Genomic DNA, 24460 nt, shown 5'->3' on the forward strand with positions numbered 1-24460 from the left:
CCTTCCGAGAGGCCCGTGGCCACTCCCCCATTCAGCCCTTCTCTGACCCGACAGCCTAGTCGAGGAGCCGGGGCGCGGGCCTCAGACCCTCAGGGCCCACGAGAAGCCAGGGCCGGCTGACCAGGTTCGGCGTGGCCAGCGCCCAGTGGGAAGCACTGGCCGACCTAGCCGAGACTACATGGACGCTTCCAGCGAGTGTGGACGCGGCAGGCGGCCAAATCGCGCCGGGCCTCGGTCCCCATGGCTCGGGACATCACAGCGCTCAGTCTCCAACCTCCGCAGCTTCCGGCCAGACGCCGAGACCCATAACTCCCCGCGCGCGGCCTGGCCCCTCCCCTCCGCACGCCGGTCCCGCCCCTTGAGCCCAGTGCGCAGCCTCGGATTGGCCAGGGCGGCTTTCGCTCCTCTGGTGGGCGGGGTTGCGGGCCACACAGCGGACCCCTAAGCGGACCGCTGGCACCGGTCGGGTGGCAGCAGAGTGTCGCTCGACATGGGGGAGGCCGGGGCTGGCGCTGGCGCCTCGGGAGGGCCGGAGGCAAGCCCGGAGGCAGAGGTGGTGAAGCTGCTGCCCTTCCTGGCGCCGGGCGCGCGGGCGGACCTGCAGGCGGCGGCGGTGCGGCACGTGCTGGCGCTGACTGGCTGCGGACCCGGCCGCGCGCTGTTGGCGGGGCAGGCGGCGCTGCTGCAGGCGCTGATGGAGCTGGCGCCGGCCTCTGCCCCGGCCCGGGACGCCGCCCGCGCGCTCGTGAACTTGGCCGCCGACCCCGGCCTGCACGAGACATTGCTGGCGGCCGACCCCGGGCTGCCAGCGCGCCTGATGGGCCGCGCGTTGGACCCGCAGTGGCCCTGGGCCGAGGAGGCGGCCGCCGCGCTAGCCAACCTCAGTCGCGAGCCGGCGCCGTGTGCAGCGCTCATGGCGGCGCTGGCGGCCGCGGAGCCGGCAGACTCGGGCCTGGAGCGGCTGGTGCGCGCGCTGTGCACGCCCGGCTACAACGCCCGCGCGCCCCTGCACTACCTAGCGCCGCTGCTCTCCAACCTCAGCCAACGCCCTGCGGCGCGGGCCTTCCTACTGGACCCCGACAGGTGAAGCCCAGGGCGCCCGCGCGGGCGGGGAGGGGACGGAAGTTAGGGGGGACGGCCCTAAGTGACACCTCCCAACAGGTGCGTGGTCCAGCGGCTGCTGCCCCTTACCCAGTACCCCGACTCCTCTGTACGCAGGGGCGGGGTGGTGGGGACGCTGCGGAATTGCTGCTTCGAGCACCGTGAGTGGTGGGTGTGGCGGGGGTGCGTTGCCAGGTGTGGGGACTGGACTCCGGGGCTGCTCTGGACCAGTTTCCATTCCCGTCTCCCCACCCTCACCATCCCTCAGGACATCACGAGTGGTTGCTTGGACCTGAGGTGGACATTCTCCCCTTTTTGCTCCTGCCCTTGGCTGGGCCTGAGGATTTCTCCGAGGAAGAGATGGAACGTGAGTGGCTAGTGTGGAGCCTCAGAGTTGGCCGGAGAGGAGGGAGGCCAGTGGAGGGAGAGAGAGGTGTCCAGGCCACAGGCTCCTGAAACTTTGCAGCAGTGAGTTGCTGAGCACAGGTGGGACTTACACAGGCAGAGCCTGGCTCAGCTGCCCAGCCCAGGGACACAGTGGCTCCCACACACTCACCCCTAGGGCTGCCTGTCGACTTGCAGTACCTGCCACCAGACAAGCAGCGAGAACCTGATGCAGACATCCGCAAGATGCTTGTTGAAGCCATCATGCTGGTGAGCAGGAGCCCTGCTGCAATAAGCACCACCCCAACACACACACATGAGCATGCTGACATCTGGGTAACCTCTTCCACCTCCTCAGCTGACAGCCACAGCACCAGGTCGGCAGCAGGTGCGGGACCAGGGAGCCTACCTGATCCTTCGAGAGCTGCACAGCTGGGAGCCGGAGCCCGACGTGCGGACGGCTTGTGAGAAGCTCATCCAGGTTGGTGCAGGGTTGGAGAGGCTGGGGAAGGGGTGTCTGTAGCTGGCCAGCTGCTCACCTGCTTCCCGTCTGGCAGGTGCTTATTGGGGACGAGCCTGAACGTGGCATGGAAAACCTGCTGGAGGTGCAGGTGCCTGAGGATGTGGAGCAGCAGCTGCAGCAGCTGGATTGCAGGGAGCAGGAGCAGTTGGAGCGGGAGCTGGCCCCAGAGCCATGGGTGGAGAGGGCCACACCCACCTGAGGCCCCTGCAGCCGGACACCAGCTCCAGGGTCCCCTTTGCCAGGCTTTCTCAGACCAGGCCTTCCTGCAGCTGTCTGCAGGCCCCCTGGGTCCCCTTGTTCAGAGACTGTGCTCTTCTGAGAAGCAGAGCTACGCTTAGGCTCCAGTAAGGATTGGAGGCACTTTCCAGCCCTGTGCAGTGTTGCTACCAGCAAGAATGAAGGTTGTGCAGAGCAGTACTGTGAGGTAGGCACCGTGACTCGGCTGCCTGTGCAGAAGGTGGAGGTGGCAGGCGGATGGCCAGGGAGCCATGAGAAGACTCTTCCTGGGCACGGCGTGGGGACTGGACAGAAAACCACTGCAAGCCCCAAGGAGCCAGCTGAAGCCTCCCAATCCCCAGGGCACTGCAGAGTCTGGGCAGAGGTGGGCGCATAGGTACAAGTGCTGCTTTGTCAGCCTCACTCCCTGCAGCTCTCAGCTCCCTGTTCCCTGAGACCTGGCCTCAAAGGGCTGACCCAGCCATACGTAGATCCTGGGGTCTTTCTAGGACTGTGCCTCCCTGCTTGACCTATGCTCCAGGACCCTGCCCTCAACCCTTGTCAGCTCCCTAAGTCTTCCTGTTTCCCAGTCTCAGATTGAGTGGGTGCTCTCATTGGCCTCTCTAGCTAGGCCGTCTCCCTGGTCAGCTTCCTTGAGCCTGGGCCACTCCTCCCTGGCCTTCTTACCTCTGCCAAGAGCCTCCAGATGTGCCTGCAGCCTAGTCCCTGCCCAAGCTTCTCCCCCAGCCACCCTCTGCCCCTGTGGTAGAGCCCACTATAGGCCCAGGCGCCTTACGTGCTTCTCCCCTGGACCTATGTGCATCCCTCACCTGCCAGTTATGTGGCTGCCAAGCCCCACAGGCTGTCATGGTGGCTCTTGCCACACTTCCCTTCCTGAGCTGACCTGACCTCACTGCCACCTCTTGCATTGGGATCCTGAGGGCTGGCCCCTGCTCACTGATGGGCCCTCCCAGGCCCGTCAAGCCCTGGTGAAGGAGCTTAGCTTGTCTTCTTGGCAATTCACAATGCCTCACTCCACACCCTAAAACTGGAGCGTCCCCTATGGTCTCCTGCTGTGGCTTGGGTGCCGGGCGTCTCCCGCCTCCAGGATCTCCTCTCACCTGCCCCCATTAAAGCTCTGCCACTCATGCAGGCATGTGTGGACCATGTTTTCCCCTGGCCAGAGCCCCCACCTGCCACTGGAGGCCAGTTGCCCTCTTAGCACTCAGACATCAGCACTGTCTTCACAGAATAAATGCTTTATCTGGCCTTGCCCCACCCACCCACCCTCAGTTTACTGGAGCGCCTCCTGGAGGCGCTCACTCCCAGGCTGGCTGCTACGAGCTCTAGAGGACCAGCTGGGCAGAACCCACCCCTCTTCTGGGGTGCGCTTCTGGAGGCCTGAGCTCAGGGCCCGTATTCTCCTTGGGGATGCCCTGCTGCTGGGGCAGTGCAGCTGCAGGACTGGCTGTTGGCGCTCTAAGTCTGTGCCAGGCTCCAGGTCATCCACGGATGCTCGGAGTTGGGACTGCACCTGCTTCTCTGCAAGGGGCCACAGTGGGGTCAGGTGGAGTGCAGAGGGACCACGTGCTGCTCAGTTGCTCACCCACAGGGCCACACTACACCTGGCACAGCACTGAGGAAGAGCGTGTTCGCTGCAGGCAGCATCCAGCAGTGTGCAGCCACCTGCTGCAGGCCCAGGCATGCGTTTGGGTGCAGCTGCAGCAGCCCCCGAATCAAGTCCTGGCACTGTGGGCAAGGGCTCACGGCTGCAGCCTCTCATCACCTCCAGCACCCACCCTCACCCCATGCACATCACTGCCAACAGTGCCAGCAGCTTAGAGGGGTCAGTTCTGTTACCAGTGGGGAGACTGAGGCATAGAGGGGCAAGGCAGTGTGCCCTGGGCTAGTGCAGAGCTTAGGTTCGCAGCCACTGCCTTTCCTGAATTGCATTCTGAGTCAGGTCCTCCAGCAGCCCAGCTTCCCCAGCACTTGTCACCGCCTTGCGTGGACCAAACGCTTCCCAGCCTAAGCGGGGAGGATGCCAGGTTCAGTCTCTTCCACCACGCGGGACTACCCTCCTGGGAGTCCAGGTCTCCCTCACTGTTGCTCTCTAGGCCTGAGCTAGGTGTGGGAGTGTCATGGGGTGGTGCTCACCTGGGAACAGACCTGGCCAGAAGGTGGGACCGCGGTGCATGAGGTGCAGCATGCAGTGGGGCTGGCGCTCCTTGAAGGGCAGCTTCCCACTCACCATGGCATAGAAGATGAGACCTCTGGGGGCAGGAGTTCCTAAGGGTGTGGCCCCTCCCCAGCCCTCCCGTGGGCCCTGGCCACAGGGTCGGGGTGCCCTGGGGGCACTCAGACTCCACAGGTCGGCCCATTGCCTGGGGTCAGGGCTCTCAGACTCCACAGGTCGGCCCACTCCCCGCTATACTTGCTGCTCATGAGGATCTCTGTGTAGGCTGGGGAGCCGCCGAAAGTGCTGAGCGGTGAGTTCCTGGGCCCCATGCAGCCTGTGAAGCCAAAGTCTGTACGAGGTGTGTGGGGAGGGTGGCACTATGCGTGAGGGGCAGGGGTGCAGGGAGAGGGACTTGAGGACGCCACTCTGCAGGGATGGCTGTGGAGGTTTGCGGGGTTGCATGCAGTGTGTGGCCGACAGCAAGAGTGTGGGTGTGGATGAGGTGGGCCTGGTCTGGGGGCACACGGGGTTAGGCCAGTGACCTCAGGGCCGAGGGTAAGGGTGGCCTGCAGGCCTTCTGGGAGGGCTGAAAGCAGGGGCCTGGCTGGGACAAGTGTGGGGTGTGGGCCCCTGCAGGTGGAGGCATTCAACCCCAGGGTGGGGCTGTGGGCTCACCGGTCAGCTTGAGAAGGCCATGGAGAAGAACATCCAGCAGGATGTTCTCGCACTTCAGGTCCCTGCATGGGAGAGGGGAGGCGGGAGGTGGGGCTGACCTGGGCTCAAGTGGGCCTCTGTGCATGTGGGCAGACGATCGGCCCAGGTGCCGCCCTCACTGGTGCACGATGCCCACGCTGTGGCAGTGTGCCATGGCACTAACTAGCTGCCAGAAGAGTCCAGGGGCTTCCTTCTCCAGCCCTGGGCGGCAGAGGTGATCCACTGCAGCCTGGATGTGCTCCAGCAGGTCGCCCCAGGGCACCAGCTCCAGCACGAGCCGGCTGCTCTGATAGGTCTCATACAGCTGCACCTGCAGCCCACACACCTGCCATCACCCGGAGGCAGGGCCAAGGGTATGCTGGAACTGTCAAGGGTACCAGATCCAGGTTCCAGGATGGGGTTGGGCTCCAGCCCTGGGGCGAAAGGGAGGTCCAAGGTGGGAGGGGGCGATAGGCCTGGGGCAGGCAGCTGGCTGGGGAGGCGGAGGGTGGGGACAGGCTGTGTCCAGGCTTCTGCCCACATGGTCAGGTGCTTGTAGGTAGCGTTGAGTGACAGATCTCATGGGGTAGGAGCTTGCGGGAGAACTCCACCGGGGCCTCGGTTGTAGAGACGATCTTGATAGCTATCTGTAGGGTGAAGGGCGCTTGCTGTGTGAGATTTGGCCCTTGAGGGGCTGGCTGTGGTAGGGCAGGCCCCTGTCCTTTATACACTTTGCTGGAATCCTCAGGGGGGATGCTGGGTGAGCAGTGCCCTTGGAGGGCAGTGATGACCTCCCTGCTCCCTCCTGTGCCAAGTACTTTGTGTTCAAGGGGTTTGGGAACAGGGGATGGTCAGCCTGCAGGAGCCCCGGGGAGGCCTCTGGGGAGGAAATGGGACTGGGGAGAGTATCAGGCGGAGGAAGCTGGAGCAGCTGGATGGTGCCTGAGTGGGTTTGGGACACGGAGGGGCCTGCTGGGGGGCACTGGAGCCCTTTGGGGAGGGAGGAAAGCCTGTCTTACCATGGTGTGGCGCTTGCCCTGCAGGTGGGAGGACAGCTTGGGGTTGTGGTGCATGCACTCGTGGGTGGCATCGGCCAAGTACACCTTGGAGAAGGCCCCAGAACTGATCTTCTTGGAGGAGAGCAGGTAGCCATTGTCCTTGCACTCACGCACCTGCTCCGTGAAGGTTCTCTGATCCAGCTTCTGCCTGCTGCTGCCCTTCATGGAGGGCAGTGCATGGAAGGGGGTGTGGTGGTCCAGTTTCACCAGTCTTGGGGGGCACAGCTGAGACCTGACTTGTGTCAGAGGGCAGGGGCCAGGGTGGTAGGGGGTGCTGGGTGGGAACTGCGTCCCTCTTGAGGCAGCAGCCACACTTCTGAAGACTTGCTGGGACTGCGGCAGAGGCAGGGAGTGATGGGGCTGCAAGCTCAGGGCGGGGGCTGGCACAGCTCTGGACTGGGCAGGGGGAGGGCCAGCTCTGGGAGACGAGGTGCAGGTTCTAGAGTGGAGAATTGAGCTGTACCTGCATTGTGCCCTCAAAGGGTGCGTCTTCTTGTTTTGAGGACCTGCCCACTCTGAGGACATCTTGTGGGACCAGTCCTGCCCACATGGGGCCCACTCTCTGTGAGGTGAAAACCCATTTCAAGGGCTGCAGCCAGGGTGAGGCCTCTGTGGACCCCTATGGACGTGGCTGGCCACAGAAAGCTGTTAAAGAAATGAGGGTGGGGATTTCTGGGGCATAAGGACAGGAAAAGGGACACATACGTGTCAACCACCATTTCAACTGCACCCCCTCCTTCGAGAGGATGCCATGGCCACACTCAGCTGGGCCCTAAGGTGGGCTGAGCCAGAGGAAGGCAGGCAGGAGCTCTGTCTCCCGGCCTTCTCCACTGGAGCCTGAAGCACCTCCTGCCCAGGCCAGCAAGGTGCAGGAAGCGTCCCACCTAGAGACCTCTGCAGACTTGACCACACACCCCAGGGCAAGCAAGGGCCCCACTCCTGAGCCTACCTCTGATCCTACAGTTCCAAGAGACAGAAGCCAACCTTGCCCCTCCCTTCTGGACCCCAGAGTGCCCTGTGGGCACTATTACTGCTAACGTTTGAGTGCCAGCTCTGTGCCGGGTGCCATTCTGGGCAGTCGCACCAGCTACCACTACCACCTGTAGCAGTCCTGCCCCCGTTCACAGAAGACATTCAGGAGCCCAGCCTGTGGGGGCAGTTCACATCTGGGATCTCAAGTCCTAACACAACCAAGCAATCCTCGCTTTACAGATGATGAAATTGAGCCGCCATGGTGGGGAAGCCCAACCCAAATGTGTCATCTCTGCTGTGAGCTAGACAGCACAGTGGCTGTGGGCCTGGAGGGCAGGGCTGCCTGATGGGCAGCCATCCTGGGAATGTCTGCAAGGGTCTGGTGCTTGGTACAGACCAGTGAGTCTGGGGAATTGGGGTCTCCACCAAGATCTGTGGGTGCACTTGGCATGTTTGCTGCAGAAAAGGCCCCAGAATGGGCTGGCTTGAACTGGAAAAACACACTTTCTCATCCCTTTTGGACCACGAGCTTCTTGAGAGCAAAGCATGTGTTTGATATTCCTTTGCTCACCCTCAGGCCTTGTTTGGCAAATTGCCTGGGATACAGAAAATAAGGACAAGGTCTGGGTGTAGTGGCTTATGCCTGTAATCCCAGCACTTTGGGTGACCAAGGCAGGAGGATCTCTTGAGGCCAGGAGTTGCAGACCAGCCTGGGTAACATAGTGAGACCTTGTCTCTGCAACAAAATTTAAAAATTAGCCAGACTTGGTGGTTCCCACTTGCAATCCCAGCTATTTGGGAGGCTGAGGCGAGAGGATCACTTGAGCGCAGGAATTTAAGGCTGCTGTGAGCTATGATTGTGCCACTGCACTCCAGCCTGGGTAACAGTGAGAGGCCTCATTTCAACAATAAAACCCAGCTTGGGCCGGGCGCGGTGGCTCATGCCTTTAATCCCAGCACTTTGGGAGGCCAAGACGGGCAGATCACGAGGTCAGGAGATAGAGACCATCCTGGTTAACACGGTGAAACCCTGTCTCTACAAAAAATACAAAAAAAAAAAATTAGCCGGGCATGGTGGCAGGCACCTGTAGTCCCAGCCAGTCGGGAGGCTGAGGCGGAAGAATGGCGTGAACCCGGGAGGCAGAGGTTGCAGTGAGCCGAGATCGCGCCACTGCACTCCAGCCTAGGGGACAGTTAGACCTCAGAAGAAACAAACTGGTTTGTGGTTGACCTGGGGGTTAGGTGTAGGGAAAAGAAAGACAGATCAGACTGTCCCTGTGTCTATGTAGAAAGGGAAGACATAAGAGACTCCATTTTGAAAAAGACCTGTACTTTAAACAATTGCGTTGCTGAGATGTTGTTAATTTGTAGCTTTGCCCCAGCCACTTTGATCCAACCTGGAGCTCACAAAAACGTGTGTTGTATGAAATCAAGGTTTAAGGGATCTAGGGCTGTGCAGGACGTGCTTTATTAACAAAATGTTTACAAGCAGTATACTTGGTAAAAGTCATCACCATTCTCTAGTCTCGATAAACCAGGGGCACAATGCACTGTGGAAAGCCACAGGGACCTCTGCCCTTGAAAGCAGGGTATTGTCCAAGGTTTCTCCCCATGTGATAGTCTGAAATATGGCCTCGTGGGATGAGAAAGACCTGACTGTCCCCCAAACTGACACCCGTAAAGGGTCTGTGCTGAGGTGGATTAGTAAAAGAGGAAAGCCTCTTGCAGTTGAGTTAGAGGAAGGCCACTGTCTCCTGCCTGCCCCTGGAAACTGAATGTCTTGGTATAAAACCCGATTGTACATTCAGTTCTGAGCTAGGAGAAAAACCGCCCTATGGTGGGAGGTGAGACATGTTTGCAGTAATGCTGCTTTGTTATTCTTTACTCCACTGAGATGTTTGGGTGGAGAGAAACATAAATCTGGCTTAAGTGCACGTCCAGTCATAGTACCTTCCCTTGAACTTAATTATGACATAGATGCTTTTGCTCACGTTTTTTGCTGACCTTCTCATCACCCTGCTCTCCTACAACATTCCTTTTTGCTGAAATAATGAAAATAATAATAAAAACTGAGGGAACTCAGAGGCCGGTGCTGGTGCAGGTCCTTGGTGTGCTGAGTGCTGGTCCCCTGGGCCCACTGTTGTTTCTCTATACTTTGTCTCTGTGTCTTATTTCTTTTCTCAGTCTCTCGTCCCACCCGACTAGAAATACCCACAGGTGTGGAGGGGCAGGCCACCCCTTCATTAGGAAAAAAATAGAAACTGCGCCAGGCAATTTAAGCAGGTGGGATTGGTTGCTTAAGTGTCAGAAGGGCTTGAGAGGCACGGGGGCAGGGTGGAGTTCGTCGAAGGTGGGGGCTGCAAGAAGCGGCCACTCTAGAACCGGAGCCAGGTGGTCCCGACCCAGGGTGGCTGAGCCTCTGGGCTCTGCTGCGGAGCCTGGGAGCCTGCGGCCCCTGCGGCACACCTCCGCTCCCACCAGTGGCAGGACACAGCTGGAAGCCCGCGAGTGTCAAGCCAAGTGATGACTGCAGGATCAGAACGGCCATTGGCTCTGTCCACCCTCCCTTTGCAGTCTCGATTATCCGCGTCGTTGCCTGCACCTGAGTCCATTCCCGGGGCTTCATTGGGCAGCCGTCCCGTGCGGGGCTTTGTAAGCAGCCCTCGGGAGCAAAATACAGACTCAGGCCTGCCCCTGGCGGAGGGGCTGGCGTTCGTTTGTGATCGGAGTGAAAGTGGGGCTGTGCTGCGCGCGGCAGCTGGTGTGCGTGAGGCGGGGGCGGCACCGAGACCGGGAGGGGACAAGGCCACAGGCGCGTGGGAAGCCGCCGCAGGGGCCGCGCCCGCATCCGCAAAGGGTACTGCGCTCTCCCGGGCGCCGTCCCCACAGCGGGAGCCCAGTCCCTCCGGCCAGGAGTGGACATCCTGCCCGCGCTGCTCCCGCCGCCTCCGCCTCTGCCGACGCCCAGCCTGGACGCGCGGCGGGCGCTTTCCTTCCTCACATCGCTCTTATCGCGTCCCGAGTTCCCGGGACCCCGCTGGTCGCCTCTTTCCCAACGAGCGCAGGGCCCTGCGAGTCCTGCCCCCCTCCGGGTGCCGCGGCCTCCAGCTGGCGCTTCCGGGGCAGACAGAGGGCGGGCGGGCCGCGCGAGTCCAGGGCGGGCGTGTGCTTGCGAGCGGCCGCAACGCCGCGCCGAGCCCGCGTCCCCGGCGTCTGGGAGCGGAGGTCGTCAGGGCTGTATGCGTCCGACGGGGACACGGGGACTGCAGCACCCCGGGGCTGGCGTAGCTGTCGCGAGCCTGAAGGCCGCGCCTGCGCCGTGGCGGCCGAACTGTCGCTCAACAGACGGGCGGGGCCGAGCGTGAGGCGGAGTCTGCGCACTGCTGCTTTGCAAATGAAGGTGGGCGGGGTGGAGCGAGCGTGAGAGACGTGCCCCCGACCAATAAGTGCAGAGATCGCTCGGGGGCGGGGACCTGCTGCCGCGCTCCAGGCTGCGGGTGGCCAGAAGGCAGCGGGGGCGGGCTCGGCGCGCGCGGCTCCGCCCACTCCGGGCCCCTGCTGGGCGGGAAGGCGGCGCCCCGGCCGAGGTGGCGGCGGCTCCTCAGGTAAACGGCGGGTGGGGATGAGCCTTCGGCGGCGCTGGGGAAGAGCCCCTCGGGGAAGTCTGGGCTGAAGAGCCTGGGGCGGCTCCCTTGGCGGGGCCGCGGAGGAAGCCGAGTCAGGAGGCGCCTCCCCAAGGTCACAGGGCGAACGCTGGGAGGGTCCTGGGTGTCGCGGGGACCTCGGCTCAGGTGTGCGCCGCGCCACAGCCCGGAAGAGAGGCCGGAGCTGTGCGGCTGTGCTCCTCCTCTGCGCCGCTAAGTCGTCTCGGCCGCGCGACCACCCCTCTTCGGGGAGCTTGGTGGTCCCCGGTGCCCGCCCCTCCGCGGGAGCCCGGTGGTCCCCGGTGCCCGCCCCTCCTGTGAGCCCGGTGGTCCCCAGTGCCCGGCCCTCCCCGGGAGCGCGGTGGTCCCCGGCCCTTCTCCCCCCAGGCGGGGCCACCGGGGGTCCTCTCTCCGGGAAGCCAAGCATACGCCCGGAGCCTGCAAAGCCGGCGTGCCCCGGGCCTCCGTATGCCTTCCGTATTCTCTGACGATCGCGAGCAGGAAGGTGATTTGTCCCTAGTCACGAGGATGACTGGTCATAGCGTGCCGGGCATAGCGCTGGCAGGGCCGCCGGGAGCCAGCCCTCACTCAGCCAAGGTGAGACTTAGGGGGTCGGATTTTCGGGCAGCGTCAGTGCAGCTGCAGTGTGAGGGTCAGAGGAAACCACTCTGCGGGCGCTGGTGGCTCGGTCCTACACACTCTGGGGAGGGGCTCCTTTGCCTGCTCAGTTGGGGAAGGGACAGACTCATAAACTCAAGTGCAGTGAGGTAAGCAGAAAAGGGGTACGGGGGTGTGGCCGAACTTAGGGATGTGAGCAGAGTTGGGTCGGGGACAGCCCTGTAGGCAGGGACCACTTTGGAAGGGGATGGTGGTGAACGCACACGATGCGGTAAGAGGCAGGCAGGGTAGGGCCGGTGATAAGTCAGGTGAGGGTGGTGAGTTGAGTTTAGAGCTGTTGGGTCTCAGTGCGATGACCATGGATGGAGATGTCCCGAAGACCTCGGGTCCCGGCGAGGCGAGGGCTGGAGATGCGTGTGGGAATCGTTGTTTGCGGCATGTTTCATAGGTGGTACGTGTTTGTGACGTGGCTGCATGGACAGTCTGGGCACCCTAGGGTGCTGCCGTCAGCAGGATCTTCAGTGCTCAGTCTCAGGCTCTCAGGGTCCCCGTGAACAGGTGTCTCTGGTCTCTCTTTGATGTCAGAGTGGAATGACCTGAGGCTAAGGTGTTTTTGTTAACTTGAAACTGACGTGCAGGCCGCTGTGGCTTGTGGAGACCTGCACCTCGTCATTTCCCACTGGCTGGGGTTGATTGCTGACTGCTGAGGGACACCAGGGGGTCAGAGGTGGAGGCTGTGGGGCATGTGCTTGCCTGAGTTCGTGGCTGTCTCCTGTGTCAGGAAACAGGTGCTGGTGCTTAGTTTTCTTTCCCAGGGTCCACAGAGGCCCAGGAGAGAAGCCTGGTTGCTGCCCTCTGTCTCGTAGCCCCCCTTTCACAGAGCTGGGTTATTTGGGGTAGAGATCCTCTGTCTGTGCCGGTCCACCCAGCTTGGTTTCTTTGGGGTAGGAGCACCAGGAAAGGCTCCCGTGGCTCTTGGGAGCTCCTAGCCAGTGTGCAGAGAACATGGACTGCTGCCCATCATGAGAAATGTGCTTTCTTCACTGAGCTTGAGGGGCCACCTGGTTTTGGGGGTTTGCATGAGCACCAGTGACACAGCTTGGTGTGGCCTGTATTGAGGAACCATGTTCTCGGTGGACTGTGAGCAGTGGGCTGTGGGATTGCATTTCCCAGGGTCATCAGCCTTATTGGTGACTTTGGAAGTTGATTCTGTGGCTGCTGTGCTGGGAGAGAAGGTTCCTTGGACCTGACGCGTGGGTGGGGCATTCTGTGACCTCCCAGTCTCCCTGCACACACCCAGCCCTGCAGGCTGGCTCACCACTGCTTCTGGGCTATTGATTCCTGTGGCCTGCACAGCCTCGCACACCCCCTCCTAACCCTTTTGGACCCAGTGCAGCACCTCTGTTGTGGGCACAGGTGTGGCAGCCATATACTTTTTGTGGCCGGAGGGCTTTCAAGACAGGAACTCTGGGCCTGGGATGGTGACTGGCGGGTGTTTACTAAATGTGGTTGAATTAAATGAAAAGGAAGCAGCTCTTTCATTCACACAGAAATGTGTGCTATGTAGGGAGAGAAGACCCTATCAACCCTGCCTGCCACCTTCTCCCATTCGTTTGCTTTTTGTTAATTTAACCAGAGCCCTGATTGGCATTTGTGTTTTTTTCTGACATCCCCATTATATACATGTGTGTGTACTAGTACGAGGGCATCTGTAGATAGATGTGGAAAAGTGGATGTTTAGCCACTGAGGCTTGTTGGGGCCGTTCTTCAGGTTCTGCTACTGGCACCAGCACCGAGTAGCCCCTGTCCTCAGCACGTCAGATGCTCTTGGTGTTCAACTGTGTGCTGGCCTCACTGCAAGCCTTTGACTGGTGACACTTTTTGCCATGTAGCCTACAAATAGAGGAGCTAGTCATCACTGATCGTCACCATTTGTAGGTGGTGGGACAGGGCACAGGGATTTTCCATGCCTGCTCATGGCTTACTGGCTCTGCCACTGAGCCCTTATCCAGCCACTGATGCAGGAGGGCTGGGAAGAGAAGAGTGTGGTCCCTTATGGAATAGGGGAAGGGAAGTGCTGGGTAGAGTAGAGCATGGTCCCTGGCTAGGGCTCCACCACCATGGACCTAGATGAGGACAGGCACTCCTGCCTTCCTGCCCAAATGTTACATTTCCCAAGACCACCCTGGCCTGCCATACATAGCTCCTGTGCCTATATAAACCTGAGACCCAGGCCAGGCGTGATGGCTCACGCCTGTAATCCCAGCACTTTGGGAGGCCCAGGCAGGCGGATCACTTGAGGTCAGGAGTTCGAGACCAGCCTGGCCAACATGGTGAAACCCCGTCTCCACTAAAAATACAAAAATTCGTCGAGTGTGGCGGTGGGCGCCTGTAATCCCACCTACTCAGGAGGCCAAGGCAGGAGAATCGCTTGAACCTGGGAGGCGGAGGTTACAGTGAGCCGAGATTGCGCCATTGCATTCCAGCCTGGGTGACAGAGCAATATTCTGTCTCAAAAAAAAAAAAAAAAAAAAAAAAAAACCTCCAAGATGCTAGCAAGGCAGGGACACAGGCAGCTGGACATAGAGAGGAGCAGATTGGCGGAAGAAGACACAAGCAACTGGACCTCGAGGGGAACACGCCAGTGGAAGAACACACCAACAGATGCCAGCACTCTGGCAGGCCATCGACTGGCTGGACAAGGTGGAGTTTGGCCAGGGCAGTCGGAGGAGAGCTGGGGCCACCAAGCAGCCCAACTCCAGAGGAAGACCATCTCCTTTCTGGCTCCCCCATTGGCTGAGAGCTGCTTCCACTCAATAGAACTTTACACTCATTCTCCAAGCCCAGGTGTGATCCGACTCTGCCGGTACACCAAAGGGCAAGAACCCGGGATACAAAAAGCCCTCTGTCCTTGCGACAAGTAGAGGGTCTAATTGAGCTGTTTAGCACAAGCTGCCTATAGACGGCAAACTAAAAGAGCACCCTGGAACACACGCCCACTGGGGCTTCAGGTGTAAACATTCATCCCTAGATACAGCCTCCCGTCTCTGTGCTCCCCCTAGAGGTTTGGGCAGCGGGGCACTGAAGAAGCAATTCGCACCAACGTCACACGCCCTGCGACGGGGACAAGGGGACCTTTCCGCAGCACCGTGCTGCACTGCCGTCGGCTCTGGAAGGGTGGCTGAGTGTCTCTGTTCAACCTAGGGGCAGTCAGCACAGTCCCCATATGTCTGCCGGCGATCTCTCTCTCTTCTGAGAATTCTTGCACGTCCTTTGCTCTCTTTCCTGTTTATCTCAGGGATGTGCACAAGCTCCTTTGCATACAGTAGTCCTTCCCTGTCCACAGGGATATGTCTCATACCTATATACCTATGATAAAGTTTAACTATAAATGAAGCACAATAAGAGGTTGACAGCAATGAATAATAAAATAGAACAGTTTATGACAATACTCAAGACAGCCTGCAATTTAAAACATGAGTTCATTTCTGGAATTTTTCTATTTAATATTTTTGGACTATGTTTGATTGTGGGTAACTGAAACCAAGGAAAGTAAAACAGGATAAGAGGGGACTACTATGTTAATATCAGGCAAGTCATTTTCTCATATATATTATGATTGGTTTATCATAACTGCCTTGTTTTTTTATTTAAAAAAAATTTTTTTTTTTTTTGAGACGGAGTCTTGCTCTGTCGCCAGGCTGGAGTGCAGTGGCACGATTTTGGCTCATTGCAACCTCTGCCTACTGGGTTCAAGCCATTCTCCTGCCTCAGCCTCCTGAGTAGCTGGGACTACAGGCGTGTGAAAAATTATTATTATTATTTTTTTTTTTGAGACAGTCTCGCTCTGTCGCCCAGGCTGGAGTGCAGTGGTGCAATCTCGGCTCACTGGAAGCTCCGCCTCCTGGGTTCATGCCATTCTCCTGCCTCAGCCTCCCGAGTAGCTGGGACTACAGGCGCCCGCCACCACACCCGGCTAATTTTTTGTATTTTTTAGTAGAGACGGGGTTTTACTGTGTTGGCCAGGATGGTCTCCATCTCCTGACCTTGTGATCTGCCCACCTCGGCCTCCCAAAGTTCTGGGATTACAGGCATGAGCCACTGCGCCTGGCCATGACCTCATATACTTTCTTCTCGTGCTGAGAACACTTAAAATCTACTCTCAGCAATTTTCAAGTATATATCACGTTGCTGTTAACTCTAGTCATCTATGTTGTGCAATTGATCTCTTGAATTTATTCTTCCTGTCTAACTGAAGCATTGACCCTGTGACCAACATCTCCCTAGTCCTCCACCTCTGCCAGCCCCGGTAACCACCGTTCTACTCTGCTTCTAGGAGTTCAACTCTTCATAGAAGTTGGGATTCCACGTGTGAGATCACGTGGTCGTCTTTCTGTTCCTGGCTTATTTTACTTTACGTAATGTCCTTCAGTACATCCCATTTCTCGCAAATGACAGGAATTCCTTCTTTTTTTTTTTTGAGATGGAGTTTCACTCTTGTTGCCCAGGCTGAAGTGTAATGGCTCGATCTCGGCTCACTGCAACCTCCGCCTCCTGGGTTCAAGCAATTCACTTGCCTCAGCCTCCTGAGTAGTTGGGATTACAGGCACCCACCACCACGCCCAGCTAATTTTTGTATTTTTAGTAGAGATGGCGTTTCACCATGTTGGCCAGTCTGGTCTCGAACTCCTGACCTCAGGTGATCCACCTGCTTCGGCCTCCCAAAGTGCTGGGATTACAGGTGTGAGCCACTGCGCCCAGCCTCCTTTTTTAAGACTGAATAATACTCCATTGTGATATACCACATTTTCTTTGTTTTATTTTTATTTTGTTCTTTCTTTAAATATATGCCACATTTTCTTTATTCATTCATCCATTGGTGCACACTTACACTGATTCCATATCTTGGCTTTTGTGAATGGTGCTGCAGTACCCATGGCAGTGCAGATGTCTTTTTTGAGATCCTAATTTCATTTCCTCTGGATGCGTACTCAGGATCATTGGATGATATGGCAGTTCTGTTTTTATTTTATTTTTTATTTTTTGAGACAGAGTTTTGCTCCATCGCCCAGGCTGGAGTGCAGTGGCACGATCTTGGCTCACTGCAACCTCTTCCTCCTGGGTTCAAGCGGTTCTTCTCCCTCAGCTTCCCGAGTAGCCAGGACTACAGGCGCCCACCACCACACCTGGCTAATATTTTGTATTTTTAGTAGAGATGGGGTTTCACCGTGTTAGCCAGGATGGTCTCGATCTCTTGACCTCGTGATCCGCCCACCTTGGCCTCCCCAAGTGCTGGGACTACGGGCGTGAGCCAAAGCGTCCACCCTATTTTTATTTTTATTTTTTTTTGAGATGGAGCCTGGCTCTGTTGCCCAGGCTGGAGTGCAGTGGCAAGATCTCGGCTCACTGTAATCTCCACCTCCTGGGTTCAAGCCATTCTCCTGCCTCAGCCTTCCGAGTAGCTGGGATTACAGGCACGTGCCACCACGCCGGCTAATTTTTAAAAATTTTTTAAGTAGAGACAAGGTTTTACCATGTTGGTCAGGCTGGTCTCAAACTCTTGACCTCAAGTGATCCGCAGCTATAGACCTCAGTCTATGGTACAAACTAGGCAGCTCAACTTGTTCTTATAAAGTCATGGCTTTCTTCTGCTTCTGGGGAGCACTTCCAGCACCACTACTGGCACTTTGTATGGGTCCCATGGTGTCATTCAAGGCACTGACTAAACCTGATGAAGAATGTGGGAGAACCACGGGCGACTGGTTTTACTGCAAACTGCTCATGTGGGGGTGATGGCGTCCCACGGTGTGTTAAGCAGATACACTCACTGCCTGAGCTCACTGCAGTAGCAATGAGACGTGCTTTGGAATTATCACAGTAGTTCAGTATGTGCTACACTTAATTCTGTGTAGCTGTGATTCAATACTGCATCTTTTTTTTTTTTTTTTTTTGAGACAGAGTTTCACTCTTGTCACCCAGGCTGGTGTACAATGGCATGATCTCAGCTTACTGCAACCTCCGCCTCCTGGGTTCAAGCAATTCTGCCTCAGCCTCCCAAGTAGCTGGGATTACAGGCATGCGCTACCACGCCCAGCTACTTTTTTTTAAGATGGCTTGCTCTGTGGCCCAGGCTGGAGCGCAGTGGTGCAATCTCAGCTCACTGCAACCTCTGCCTCCTGGGTTCAAGCAATTCTCTGCCTCAGCCTCCCGAGTAGCTGGGATTGCAGGCACCCGCCACCATGCCTGGCTAATTTTTGTATTTTTAGCAGAGATGGGGTTTCACCATGCTAGCCAGGCTGGTCTTGAACTCCTGACCTCGTGATCCACCCACCTCGGCGTCCTAAAGTGCTGGGATTACAGGCATGAGCCACCACGCCCGGCCTAATTTTGTATTTTTAGTAGACACAGGGTTCCTCCATGTTGGTCAGGCTGGTCTCGAACTCCTGACCTCAGTTAATGCGCCTGCTTCAGCCTCCCAAAGTGCTGGGATTACAGGTGTGAGCCACCGCACCCGGCCTCTCAATACTGCGTCTTTATGTTTGTTTAGATTTTTCTTGACTGCAGATGGCAGCATGTAGGGTCTGTAAGTGTGCATATATATTTTGATAAATTTTAACTTCTTACAACAGATTTGTGTATATTTCATGGTAGTAAATGATAAAATAGACTAGTGTCTACATATATTTTATGCATTCATGACATATTTCACATTTTCTTAAATTTTTTTGATATCTCTAGACTACGTTTGTCCATAAGTTTTTCCAACGTGTCACAAATCTCCAAAAAGTTTTCCAATATATTTATTGACACAAAACTGTGTATAAGTGAACCCATGCAGTTGAAACTTGTGTTGTTCAAGGACCAACTGTATGATGTTAATTACAGGTTTTTCTTAGGTGTTTTTCTTTTTTTTTTTTTTTTTTTGAGATGGAGTCTTGCTTTGTCACCCAGGCCAGAATGCACGATCTCAGCTCACTGCAACCCCTGCTTCCTGGGTTCAAGTGATTCTCCTGCCTCAGCCTCCTGAGTAGCTGGGACTACAGGCGCCCACCACCACTCAGGCTAATTTTTGTATTTTTAGTAGAGACAGGGTTTCAACATGTTGGCCACACTGGTCTCGAACTCGTGACCTCAAGTGATCCATCTGCCTCAGCCTCCCGGAGTGCTGGGATTACAGGCCTGAGCCACTGCACCCGGCCAGTTTTTCTTAAGTAACAAGTTGAGGCCGGGCGCGGTGGCTCACGCCTGTAATCCCAACATGTTGGGAGGCCGAGGCGGGTGGATCACCTGAGGTTGGGAGTTCGCAACCAGCCTGACCAACATGGAGAAACTCCGCCTGTACTAAAAATACAAAATTAGCTGGGCGTGGGGCGCATGTCTGTAATCCCAGCTACTCTGGAGGCTGAGGCAGGAGAATCACTTGAACCCGGGAGGTGGAGGTTGTGGTGAGCCGAGACTGCGCCATTGCACTCCAGCCTGGGCAACAAGAGTGAAACTCCGTCTCAAAGAAAAAAAAAAAAAAAAAAAAAAAGTTGAGCAGGTTTCCTTCTCTTCCTAGTTAAGGTAGTTCCCTTCTCTTCTTGAGAATTTTTATCATAAGTGGACGTTGGATTGTGACAAATGCTTTTTCTGCATTTATTGAGATGATCGTGATGTGAATTATATCAGCTGAATTTAAAAATATTAAAACCAGCTGGGCACGGTGGCTCACACCTATAATCCCAGCACTTTGGGAGGCCGAGGCCGGCGGATTGCCTGAGCTCAGGGGTTTGAGACCAGCCTGGCCAACATGGTGAAACACCATCTCTCCTAAAAAAATACAAAAATTAGCCAGGCGTGATGGTGTGTGCCTGTAGTCCCATCTACTCAGGAGGCTGAGGCAGAAGAATCGCTTGAATGTGGGAGGCAGAGGTTGCAGTGAGCCGAGATTGCACCATTGCACTCCAGCCTGGGTGACAGAGCAAGACTCTGTCTCAAAAAAAAAAAAAAAAAAAAAAGAATTTGCACATCTGTGTCCATAAGGAATATTGCTTTGTAGTTTAATTTCTTTTTTTTTTTTTTTTTTCTTGAGACAGAGTCTCATTCTGTCCCCAGGCTTGAGTGCAATGGTGCTATCTCGGCTCATTGCAAACTCTGCTTCCTGGGTTCAAGCAATTCTCTTGCCTCAGCCTCCTGAGTAGCTGGGATTACAGGCGCACACCACCACGCCTGGCTAATTTTTGTATTAGTATTATTATTTTTAGACAGAGTCTCACTGTGTTGCCCAGGCTGGAGCGCAGTGGCGTGATCTCGGCTCACTGCAACCTCCGCCTCCCGCATTCAAGGGATTCTACTGCCTCAGCCTCCTGAGTAGCCGGGATTACAGGCGTGCGCCACCACGTCCAGCTAATTTTTTTGTATTTTTAGTAGAGAAGGGGTTTCACCATGTTGGTCAGGCTGGTCTCGAACTCCTGACCTTATGATCCGCCTGCCTCAGCCTCCCAAAGTGCTGGCTTGAGCCACCATGTACAGCTAATTTTTGTATTTTTAGTATAGACAGGGCTTCACCATGTTGGCCAGGCTGGTCTCAAACTCCTGACCTCAAGTTATCCACCCGCCTTGGCCTCCCAAAGTGCTGGGATTACAGGCGTGAGTCTGTATAGCTTTCTTACAAGGTCTTTGGTTTTGTTATGAGAGTAATGCTCAGAAAATTAGTTGGGAAGTAGTCTTTTCTTTTTAATTTTTTCAGGAAGAATTTGTGTATAGTTGGTATTATTTCTTCCTTCCATGTTTGGTAGAATTCCCCAGGGAAACCATCTAGGTTTTATGGGAAGGTTTTTTACTATGAGTTCGATTTCTTTTTAGATATGGGACTATTTAGGTTATCTCTTTGTGAGTGAGGTTTGATAGCTTGTAGCTTGTGTCTTTTAAGGGATTTGCCTATTTCTTTTTCTTTCTTTCTTTCTTTTTTTTTTTTTTTTTTTTGAGAAGGGGTTGCTTTGTCACCCAGGCTGGAGTGCAGTGGTGCAGTCTTGGCTCACTGCTACCTCTGTTTCCCAGGCTCACGTGGTCCTTCCACCTCAGCCTCCTGAGTAGCTGGGACTACAGGTGGGTGCCACCATGCCCAGCTGATTTTTGTACTTTTGGTAGAGATGGGGTTTTGCCATGTTGCCCAGGTGGTCTTGAACTCCTGAGCTTGAGTGATCCACCTGCCTTGGCCTCCCAAAGTGCTGGGATTACAGGCATGAGCCACTGCGCCTGGCCATCTATTTCTTTCTTTTTTTTTTTTTTTTTTTTTGAGATGGAGTCTGGCTCTGTCGCCCAGGTTGGAGTGCAGTGGTGCTATCTTGGCTCACTGCAAACTCCGCCCCCTGGGTTCAAGCAATTCTCCTGTCTCAGCCTCCCAAGTAGCTGGGACTACAGGTGCATACCACCATGCCCAGCTAATTTTTGTATTTTTAGTAGGGTTCGGGTTTCACCATACTGGCCGGGCTGGTCTCGAACTCCTGAACTCAGGTGATCCACGTACTTCAGCCTCCCAAAGTGCTGGGATTACAGATGTGAGCCACCACGCCTGGCCAATTTTTCTATTTTTAGTAGAGATGGGGTTTCACTGTGTTGGTCAGGCTGGTCTCGAACTGACCTCAAGTGATCCACCCACCTTGGCCTCCCAAAGTGCTAGGATTACAGGCATGAGCCACCTCACCTGGCCTCTAGTTTCTTAAGGTAGAAGTTGAACTCATTATTTTTTTCCTGCACATTCTCTGTATACTTTAATCATTCTTCTTTTCTAAAAAGACATTTAGTGCTATAAGTTTCCACAAATTTTGATATGTCTTTTCATTTTCATTCACTTCAGTGTGTTTTGTAATTTCACTTTTGATTCCTTTTTAGACCCATGCGTTATTTCAAAGCATATTAAATAGTTTTGAAACTCCTGGGGATTTCTCAGATATCTTTCTCTTATTGATATATTTAATTCCACTGTGGTCAGAGAACATACTTTGTATGCATTGACTTCTTTTACACTTTTTTTTTTTTAATTTTTAGCGACAGGGTCTCACTCCTGTCGCTGAGGCTGGAGCACAGTGGTGTGATCTCTGCTCACTGCAGCATTGACCTCCTGGGCTCAAGTGATCCTCCTGCCTCCCGAGTAGCTGGGACTACAGGCGCACGCCACCACGCCCAGCTAGTTTTTGTATTTTTTGTAGAGACAGGGCTTCGCTGTGTTACCCAGGCTGGTTTTGAACTCCTGAGCTCAAGCATTCAAACTGCCTCGTAGCCTCCCAAAGTGCCAAGATTACAGGTATGAGCCACTCTGCCTGGCCGAATTTTCTGTTCACTTGTTCTAACAGAGACAGAGGGCCGGGCACAGTGGCTCACGCCTGTAATCCCAGCACTTTGGGAGGCTGAGGTGGGTGGATCACCTGAGGTCAGGAGTTCGAGACCAGCCTGGCCAATGTGGTGAAACCCCATCTCTACTAAAAATACAAAAATTAGCCAGGTATGGTGGCCCGTTTCTGTAGTCCCAGCTCCTGGGGAGGCTGAGGCAGGAGAATCACTTAAACCCGGAAGGCGGAGGTTGTAGTGAGCCGAGATCCTGCCATTGTACTCCAGCCTGGGCGACAAAAGCGAAACTCCGTGTCAAAAAGAAAGGAGAGAGAGAGAAATGTTGAAATCTATACTGCAATTTAGATTGGTCTATTGTTCCTTGCATTTTTATTAGTTTTGGCTTTGTGTATTTTGAAGCTCTGTTACCAGGTAAAAATGTTTAGGATACTTAATATTTCTGAAATCTAGTTTGTCTAATGTGACTCCAGCTTTCTTGTAACTAATGCCAGCCATGTTTTTCTTTGCCCATCCTTTTGCTTTTAACCTCGTAGTGTTAACATATTTAATCTTTCCTGTAGTTTCTCAAACATATGAAATAGTTTTAATAACTAATGTCTGTGTCTCTGAACTCTTTCCTTTGTGTTATTTCTGGGTCAGTTTGTATTGGTTGGTTCATCCTCACAATGGGTTGGATTTTCTTGCTTCTTTGTACGCCTGGTAATTTTTTTTTTTTTTTTTTTTGAGACGGAGTCTCGCTTTGTCGCCCAGGCTGGAGTGCAGTGGTGCGATCTTGGCTCACTGCAAGCTCCGCCTCCCGGGTTCACGCCATTCTCCTGCCTCAGCCTCCTGAGTAGCTGGGACTACAGGGGCCCGCCACCACACCCCGTCTAATTTATTGTATTTTTTAGTAGAGACAGGGTTTCACCGTGTTAGCCAGGATGGTCTTGATCTCCTGAGCTCATGATCCACCCGCCTCGGCCTCCCAAAGTGCTGGGATTACAGGCGTGAGCCACCGCGCCCGGCCCACGCCTGGTAATTTTTGATTGGATGCCAGGCGTTGCTTTTGCTTGGTGTTGCTGGATATTTTTGTGTTTCTGTTAGTATTCATGAGCTTTGTGCTGGGAGCTGGCTAAGTTACTAGGGAACAGTTTGATCTTGTCAGACCTTTCTTTTAGCTTTGTTAGGTGAGACCAGAATGACATTTAGTCTAGGACTGATTTGGTTGTTTACTGAGGTGGAATCCTGAGCTCTGCCTGGTGCCCCATGAGTCATGACGCTTTCCACACTTTCCACTCCGGCTGCTGGGAGCAGGCCCCATTCCTGGACCTGTGGAAGCCCTGGATGTTGCTTCTCCTAATCCCTTTGTGTGGCTCTTTCTGCAGCTTTGGACAGTTTGTTCTCCTACAAGGCATTTGTCTTAGTTTTCTAATGCTGATGCAATGCATTATCACAAACTTAGTGCCTTAAGCAACACAAATTTATTACCATAAAGTTTTTGGAGTCAGAAGTCTACCAAGGGTCCCACCGGCTAGAACCCAGGCACCAGACAAATTTATTACCATAAAGTTCTTGGAGTCAGAAGTCTACCAAGGGTCCCACCGGCTAGAACCCAGGCACCAGACAAATTTATTACCATAAAGTTCTTGGAGTCAGAAGTCTACCAAGGGTCCCACTGGCTAGAACCCAGGCACCAGACAAATTTATTACCATAAAGTTCTTGGAGTCAGAAGTCTACAAGGGTCCCACCGGCTAGAACCCAGGCACCAGACAAATTTATTACCATAAAGTTTTTGGAGTCAGAAGTCTACCAAGTCTCACCAGCCAGAACCCAGGCGCCGGGGGCTGCTTCCCTTCCTGGTGCCCCTGGGAAGGATTGCTTCTGCTGTCTCAGGTTCCTGGCAGAATTTGGTTCTTTGCATCTGTAGGACGGAAGCTCCTGTTTTCTTGTCAGCCGCCAGCTGAGGGCCATTCGCAGCTTCTCCAGGCCACCTGCATTCCTTGTCTCAGAGCCTCCCTCCTGCATCCTCCAAGCCAGCAGTTGTGGGGTGAGTCCTTCTCACGCTTCAAATTTCTCCTCCCCGCTCTTCTGTCTCTTCTCTTTGACGCACCTGGGAAAGCTTCTGTGCTTTTAAGGACTCATGTGATTAGTTTGGTCTCACCCAGGTAATCCAGGATAATCTCCCTGTCTCAGGGCCTGTACCCTTAATCTCATCTACTGAATCCCCTTTGCTGTGTAAGGGTTCATACACACAGGTTCTGGGGATTAGGGTGTGGGAAGCTTTGGGGCTATTATTCTGCTGACCAGTAACTTGCTGAGTGCCCAGGGAACCCGCTGCAGGTCTCTAAAGTTCTCTCTGGGCAGCGCTTTCTCTGGTATGAGAGACTGCAGACTCCGGCCGCCTTGGTATCGGCCGGCACTCCCCGTTCTGTCTCATCAGCTTAGGTGTTTTGCTGGGCCCTAGGACTGGGTCCTCTCTCCAGGCAGTGAGCTGGGCTCTTAGGGCTCCGCCTCATTTCCTACCTCTCAGGCCGCACAGTCCTTCATTTTCTGATGTCCATTGTCCTGAGAAACAGTGGTTTCTTGTGTCTCGTCCAGTTTTTTAGTTGTCCTGTGATTCTCGCCTGGGCCGGGAGCAGGCAAGTCCAAGTCCATGTGCCCATTTGTTTTGTTAGCTCCTGTTTGAGTTGGGTGAGCGTGGCTGCTGCACTGGAAGGGGTGCTGCACGGTCGTGGACTGGCGTTGGTTCCGCCCGTTTCTTCC

The 24460-nt window shown here is 55.1% G+C and overlaps 2 protein-coding genes and 1 pseudogene across 44 annotated transcripts in view, besides 7 other annotated features; 2 read left to right on the top strand and 1 right to left on the bottom strand.

Annotated features, from left to right (window-relative positions):
* Positions 27 to 76: an enhancer, noted in NCBI's record as "active region_28090". NCBI's record gives its function as "activates an Ori minimal core promoter by ATAC-STARR-seq in GM12878 lymphoblastoid cells {active_cell/tissue: GM12878}" and the evidence as "EXISTENCE:reporter gene assay evidence [ECO:0000049][PMID:35858748]".
* Positions 267 to 726: a silencer, noted in NCBI's record as "silent region_19659". NCBI's record gives its function as "represses an Ori minimal core promoter by ATAC-STARR-seq in GM12878 lymphoblastoid cells {active_cell/tissue: GM12878}" and the evidence as "EXISTENCE:reporter gene assay evidence [ECO:0000049][PMID:35858748]".
* On the top strand, positions 429 to 3506 carry HGH1 (HGH1 cochaperone). Of its 2 annotated transcripts, NM_016458.4 has the most exons (6): positions 429 to 1083; positions 1162 to 1262; positions 1370 to 1468; positions 1664 to 1755; positions 1844 to 1966; positions 2043 to 3506. In NM_016458.4, the coding sequence occupies exons 1-6, from the start codon at positions 491 to 493 to the stop codon at positions 2205 to 2207; spliced, it is 1173 nt and encodes a 390-aa protein (NP_057542.2). In that variant the 5' UTR covers positions 429 to 490; the 3' UTR covers positions 2208 to 3506. The 2 variants fall into 2 exon arrangements, 1 of the variants encoding a protein (NP_057542.2); XR_001745537.2 differs by lacking the exons at positions 1162 to 1262; positions 1844 to 1966; positions 2043 to 3506.
* Positions 737 to 966: a silencer, noted in NCBI's record as "silent region_19660". NCBI's record gives its function as "represses an Ori minimal core promoter by ATAC-STARR-seq in GM12878 lymphoblastoid cells {active_cell/tissue: GM12878}" and the evidence as "EXISTENCE:reporter gene assay evidence [ECO:0000049][PMID:35858748]".
* Positions 1007 to 1126: a silencer, noted in NCBI's record as "silent region_19661". NCBI's record gives its function as "represses an Ori minimal core promoter by ATAC-STARR-seq in GM12878 lymphoblastoid cells {active_cell/tissue: GM12878}" and the evidence as "EXISTENCE:reporter gene assay evidence [ECO:0000049][PMID:35858748]".
* Positions 3519 to 6319, bottom strand: TSSK5P (testis specific serine kinase 5, pseudogene; annotated as a pseudogene).
* Positions 9943 to 10032: a silencer, noted in NCBI's record as "silent region_19662". NCBI's record gives its function as "represses an Ori minimal core promoter by ATAC-STARR-seq in GM12878 lymphoblastoid cells {active_cell/tissue: GM12878}" and the evidence as "EXISTENCE:reporter gene assay evidence [ECO:0000049][PMID:35858748]".
* Positions 10153 to 10352: a silencer, noted in NCBI's record as "silent region_19663". NCBI's record gives its function as "represses an Ori minimal core promoter by ATAC-STARR-seq in GM12878 lymphoblastoid cells {active_cell/tissue: GM12878}" and the evidence as "EXISTENCE:reporter gene assay evidence [ECO:0000049][PMID:35858748]".
* Positions 10523 to 10902: a silencer, noted in NCBI's record as "silent region_19664". NCBI's record gives its function as "represses an Ori minimal core promoter by ATAC-STARR-seq in GM12878 lymphoblastoid cells {active_cell/tissue: GM12878}" and the evidence as "EXISTENCE:reporter gene assay evidence [ECO:0000049][PMID:35858748]".
* MROH1 (maestro heat like repeat family member 1) overlaps positions 10671 to 24460 on the top strand; it is a 113911-nt gene continuing 100121 nt past the window's right edge. For 15 of the 42 annotated variants that reach the window (XM_011517270.3, XM_011517271.3, XM_011517273.3 and 12 more), the window contains exons 1-2: positions 11309 to 11367; positions 23651 to 23744. The gene's annotated coding sequence lies outside the window, so the exon portion shown is untranslated. Of the gene's footprint in view, positions 10732 to 11308; positions 11368 to 23624; positions 23745 to 24460 lie in introns of those variants that run through there. The other 27 variants (XM_047422171.1, XM_047422175.1, XM_047422181.1 and 24 more) reach the window with 5 other exon arrangements.

This window comes from Homo sapiens, chromosome 8, assembly GCF_000001405.40.
Source record: "Homo sapiens chromosome 8, GRCh38.p14 Primary Assembly".
Classification (NCBI taxonomy): domain Eukaryota; kingdom Metazoa; phylum Chordata; class Mammalia; order Primates; family Hominidae; genus Homo; species Homo sapiens.